At 40.0% G+C, this 6,254-nt stretch overlaps 1 non-coding gene across 1 annotated transcript; it reads right to left on the bottom strand.

Annotated features, from left to right (window-relative positions):
* Window positions 1-5,652: 5,652 nt before the first annotated feature.
* LOC124904812 (small nucleolar RNA U13) lies at window positions 5,653-5,756 on the bottom strand. Its single transcript, XR_007067408.1, has one exon. It is a non-coding gene; the product is annotated as a small nucleolar RNA U13 (small nucleolar RNA).
* Window positions 5,757-6,254: the final 498 nt, after the last annotated feature.

The raw sequence follows: 6,254 nt of genomic DNA, 5'->3' as shown, positions 1-6,254 counted from the left end.
GGCAAGAAAGACTCTACAAAATAAAAAACTTATCCACATGTGGTGGTGTGTGCCCATGGTCCTAGCTACCCAGAAGGCTGAGATGGGAAAATCACTTGAGCCTGGGAGGTTGAGGCTGCTGTGAGCTGTGGTTGCACCACTGCATTCCAGCCTGGGTGACAGAGAGAGACTTTTCTGTCAGAAAACTAAAAAAAAAAAAAAAAAAAAAAAAAAAAAAAAAAAAAAAAAAAAAATGGTTCTGGGAAAACTGAAGATTCATATGCAGAAGAATGAAATTAGATCCAGGTAAAAAGTGAGCAAATGTTCTGAATAGACACTTCTCAAACGAAGAAATACAAATGGCCAACAGGTATATGAAAAAATGCTTGACATCGCGAATCATCAGGTAAATATAAGTCAAAACCACAATGAGATATTATCTCACCCCAATTAAAATGGTATTATCAAAAAGATAAAAAATGACATGCTGGTGAAGATGTGGAGAAAGTGGAACTCTTGCACACAGTTGGTGAGAGTGTAAATTAATATAGCCACTATGAAAAACAGTATGGAAATTCTTCAAAAAACTAAAACTAAAAATACAACTACCGTATGATTCAGTGATCCCACTGCTGGGTATAAGAAAGGAAATTAGTATATCAAAGAGATATCTGGACTGCCATGTTTATTACAGCACTATTTACAATAACCAAGATATGGATTCAACTATTTTATACTGTCCTCAGTAATATATGAGATTTCTAGATGCTCTATTTTCTCACCAAACTTGGTATCATTACAATTTTTAATTTGTAGTCATTCTGGTAGGTGTGTGGTAGTACTTCATTGTGATTTTAGTTTCTGTTTACCTGATGACTAATGATTAAACATCTTATCGTGTGCTTATTGGCCATGCATGAGGTCTATTTCTGGTCTATTTGGTTGTATTTGTATATTTGTCTTTCCTTACCCTAATATTACATTGTATTATCTAGGGTGCTCTATATAATAAGCCTTGAAGTGAGGTTATACAAGTTCTCCAACTTTGTTACTCTTTATTTCAAAACTGTGTTGGATATTCTAGGTCCTTTGAACTTCCATATAAATTTTAAAATCAGTTTGTCAATTTCTGTGAAATAAAGCATGTTGGGTTTTTTACTGGAATTATACTGAATCTATCAATCATTTTGGTAAGAGTGGGCAACAATATTGTGTCTTCCAATCCATGGACAAAATATATGTGTCAATTTATTTAGGTATTCTTTAATTTCTCTCAGCAATGTTTTCTAGTTTTTCATGTGTGGATTTTGCACATATTTTGTTAAATTTATTCCTAAGCATATTATGTTTTTGATGCAATTTTATGATGTGCTTTGGTTTTTCATGTTTCTTGTGCCTGGGGTTTACTAAGTTTCTTAGGTTTCTGGACATCTAATTTTCATAAACGTTGGAAAATTTCAGTTATTACTTCTTCATATCTTTTTTTCTGACCTCCCTTCTCACTCTCTCTGTCTCTTTTTTCCCCCCCTTTGGAGTCTGATTGCCTCGTAGGTCACTAATGCTCTGGCCATTTTTTTTTTCAGTCTTTCTTCTTTCCGTGTTTCATCTTGGATAGTTTCTATTGCTCTGTCTTAAACTTCACTAATTTTTTTCAATGTCTAATGTGTTGTTATTAATCTCAAATATTTTAATTTTTCTCTTTACAAGTTCAATTGGGCCTCTTATTTTTATTTATTTATATGTGAGACAGGGTCTAATTTTGTCACCCAGGCTAGAGTGCAGTGGCCCAATCTTGGCTCACTGCAGCCTTGACTTCCCGGGCTCAAGCAATCCTCCCACCTCATCCCCAAGTAGCTGGGACTACAGGTGCATACCACCATGCCTGGCTAATTTCTAAAAAAATTTTGTACAGATGGGATCTTCCTGTGTTGCCCAGGCTGGTCTTGAACTCCTAGACTCAAGTGATCTACCCACCTCGGCCTCCCAAAGAGCTGGGATTAGAAGCATGAGCCACCGCAGCCAGCCAATTTGGTAATTTAAAAATATCTTTGATGTTTTTACTTAACATGCTCAATCTTTCCTTTACCTTCTTGAACATATGAATATAGCTTTAATAACCACTTAAATGTCTTTGTCTACTAATTCTATCATCCATATCATTTCTAGATTAGTTCTCATTGATTTTTCTCTTCATTACGAATTGTATTTTCTTGCTTATTTGTGTGTCTTATAATTTTTTATTGAATTCCAAATACCACGTATTTTACCTTGTGGGTACTGAATACCTTTGTATTCTTATTAATATTCTTGAGCGTTGTTCTGTGATGTAGTTAAGTTACTTGAAAACTGGTCCTTCTGAGGCTTGCTTTGTTAGACATGACCAGAATTCTTTGGTGTATGGCTAATATTGCCCACTACTACAGCAATGCCTTTCTGAATATTCTACCTGATGACCTGTTAATTATGAGGTTTCCTACTGTGGCTAGTAGGTGAATGCTGAAGATTTTTCCCTGTACTTTTTTCAGGTGTAATTTTTCTTAGCCTGTGGTAGTTTCCTCACACGAATGTGCAGATCAGCCTTCAGCTGCAGACCTTCCACAGATCCCTGGAGCTCTCTGTCTGTGCTGCTCTCTCAGCTCTTGTGCTCTGCCAGGTGAACTCTAGCTGGCTTGGCCTCCTCAGATGCCCAGCATTTTCTCCTGAACTGAGGGAGACTTTTGGGCTCTGCCTGCATTCCCCCTTGCTGTGCTGAAGCCTGGAAACCCTTTCCTATCACAGACTGCGAAAATCATAGAACACATCTTGCTTGTTTCCTGAATTCACTGTCTGTGCTGCCTGATGCTTAATGTCTGAAAGCTGTTGCTTCATATGTTGTGCCTGGAGTTTTAATTGGTCCCTGTCACTCCATGTTGCTCAGAATTAGAAGTCCTGATGCTATTTTATTTAATTTTTTATTTTTATATATTTAGGAGGTACAAGTGCAGCTTTTTTACATGCATATATTACGTAGTAAAAATAGTCTGGGCTTTTAGTGTACCTATCACATTGTACCCAATAAGGAATTTTTCAGACCTCACCCTTTGATCTGGTTTGGCTCTGTGTCGCCACCCAAATCTCATCTTGAATTGTAATCCCCACGTATTCAGGGAGGAACCTGGTGGGAGGTGATTGGATCACGGGGGCAGTTTCCCCCATGCTGTTCTCATAATAGTGAGTCCTCATGAGATCTGATAGTTTTATAAGTGTTCGGCAGGTTCCTCCTTCACTCACATCCTCTCCCTCTCACCTGCCACCATGTAAGTCATCCCTACTTCCCCTTCCGTCATGATTGTAAGTTTCCTGAGGCCTCCTCAGCCATGTGGAACTGTAAGTCAATTAAACCTTTTTCCTTTATAAATTACTCAATCTCAGGAAGTTCTTTATAGCAGTGTGAAAATGGACTAATACACCCTCCCTCCCACCCTTCCACCTTCTGTAGTCTCCAATGTCTGCTATTCTACTCTGTATGTCCATGTGTACTTATTGTTTAGCTCCCACTTTTAAGTGAGAACATGTGGTATTTGACTTCTTGTTTCTGAGTTATTTCGCTTAGGATAATGACCTCCAATTCCATCCATGTTGCTGCAAAAGACGTGATTTCCTTCTTTTTTATGGTTGAGTAGTATTCCATGGTGTGTGTGTGTATAACATTTTCCTTACTTGATGCTCTTTTAAATGGTATTAAAGTTTTTTTAAAAATTCCAATTATTTATTCATAGTCTATGGAGAAATACTTTATTTTTGATATTTGACCTTGTATATGGTAACCTTGTTAAATTCACATATTAGTTTTCACTTAAATTTTTGTTTGTTTGTTTGTTTTTGTTTTTGTTTTTTTAGACAGGGTCTCTCACTCTGTTGCCTGGGCTGGAGTACTGTGGCACAATCTTGGCTCACTGTAGCCTCGACCTCCGGGTTCAGATGATCCTCCCACCTCAGGCTCCCAAGTAGTTGGGACAACACGTGCGTGCCCCCATGCCCAGCTGATTTTTTTGTGTTTTTTTTTGTAAAGACAGGGTTTCACCATCTTGTCCAGGCTGGTCTTGAACTCATGGGCTCAAGCAATCTGCCTGCTTTGACCTCCTAAAGTGCTGGAATTACAGGCATGAGCCATTGTGCCTGATCAAAAGGAATTTTTTTAAAAATTTAAATATAAAATTTTTTTTTTTTGAGATGGGGTCTTGCCTGTCACTCAGGCTGGAGTGCAGTGGCATGATCACGGCTCACTGCAGACTTAACCTCCTGGGGTCAAACAATCATCCTACCTCAGCTTCTCAAGTAGCTAGGACTACAGATGTGCACCACCATGACCAGCTAATTTTTTATTTTTTGTAGAGACAGGGTCTCACTATATTGCTCAGGCTGGTCTTGAACTTTTGGGCTCAAGTGATCCTCCCACCTCAGCCTCCTAAAGTGTGGGATTACAGGCATGAGCCACCATGCCTGGCATTTTCATGTATATATATATATATATATATATATATATATTTTTTTTTTTTTTTGTGGTGGATTCCTTAGGAGTGTCTATAGGCACAATCATGTTATCTGTGAATATAGAACGTTTTACTTCTTCCTTTACAACTTGTATTATCTCTGTCGCTCTCCCTTCTGTACTGGAAATGCTATATACATTGTTGAATAGAAGCAGAAAGAGCAGCTATCCCTTGCCTTCTTTTTGATCTTGGGAGGGAAAGCATTCATTCCTTCACCATGAAGTATGATGTAAGCATTAGGTTGCTTTTTTTTCCTTTTTCTGAGACAGAGCCTTGCTCTGTTACTCAGGCTGGAGTGCAGTGGCGTGAATGTGGCTCACTGCAGCCTCAAATTCCTGGGCTCAAGATATCCTCTCGTCTCAGCTTCCTGGGTAGCTGGGTCTATAGGAGTGCATCACCAGACCCAGCTAATTTTTTATTTTTTGTAGGGTGTCATTATGTTACCCAGACAAAGCACTGTAGATGTTATTGATTTATCTATTTTTATAGAGACGGAGTCTATGTTTCCCTGGCTGGTCTCAAACTCCTAGGCTCAAGTGGCTTCCCAAAGTGCGGGGATTATAGGCATGAGCCACTGTGCCCAGCTTGTAGATGTCTTTACTGGGTTCAAGAAGACTATGTGGTGGGTAATGCAAGTATACTTATGAAAGAAGGGGATAAGTTGAGAGTTCTTGGATTTAATTTTCTCAGTGAAGCAGGAGGACAGGCTATCTGATGAGGGGTGGGGAGAATGAGGTGGATTTGTAATAGTCCTTCATGAACCTCTCAAAAGACAAACCTGTGGCAGAGTGTACAGTTTTCTGTACCAGGACTTGGAGCTCCAGGTTTAGGACGAGCGTGGGCAGCTGTAGAACTGGGTTCTGTAGTCAGGGTTTTCCAGCACTTATGAGTGGAGGGAAAAGGGAGCACGGGTATTGAGGGAGCTGGCGGGAAATAATTCAAGTTGTTGGCCAGAGGTCTAGCTTGGGTTTTAAAAGACTGAAGCCTGGGAATTGAGGGGAAAGTAAAGATAAACTGTGAGGCCACGAAGGGATTAAAGGGCTGGAACTCAGCGAGGCCAAGGAGTGGTAAAGTGGGAGGAAGAGAATAGAGCTGGGAGGATTGTGGTTCAAGTGGGATATTGAAGTTTCATTTTTTTCCACATCAGATGGGTAATGTGCCAATGTTGTAACAAGGTTTCAGGGAGGCACATCTTACACATGAAAGTGAAAACCCAGTCATCACTCTTATGAACTGTGAAAGGATCCAAAGATTTTTTGAGAGGCAGTGGAGCTATGGTAGTAATGGTCTAATTGTGGCCTTGAAAAGTGTAAGTAGAGCAGAAGGTTATTTGAAATGATTAGGGGAAGGTTAGGGTGTGGGATGGATTGGGTTCAGCAATTTGTCTCAGGATGATGGTGGGAGTTAATGTGTAAGGTAAATGGGGGAGTCCTCAGCCTCTGTGGGCCAGGGTCAATGACGGCCAGAAGAAGTAGAGGGCAATGAACCATTTGGTATGAGGGGGACTTTGACAAAGGTAGAAAAGTAATCATGTAAAACTGGCAGGGGAAGCTGGGAGACTGCTGACCCCAAGTGCCCCCTTCTTGGCTGGAAAATAGAACTCATGGGAGGAAGAGCAGCTTTCCCTTAAGAGGGCTGCAAGGGAACCAGTGTCCTTGGGGCAAGGCCAGGCTTCAGTTACGGTAAGGAGGAGGAAGGTATAGTGAAAGTTCTTGCAGGTTGTTGTGGATATAGAAGAATTTG

This window comes from Homo sapiens, chromosome 1, assembly GCF_000001405.40.
Source record: "Homo sapiens chromosome 1, GRCh38.p14 Primary Assembly".
Lineage (NCBI taxonomy): Eukaryota > Metazoa > Chordata > Mammalia > Primates > Hominidae > Homo > Homo sapiens.
The sequence above is the reverse complement of the archived record's forward strand: the minus strand, read 5'-3'. Positions and strand labels throughout refer to the sequence as shown.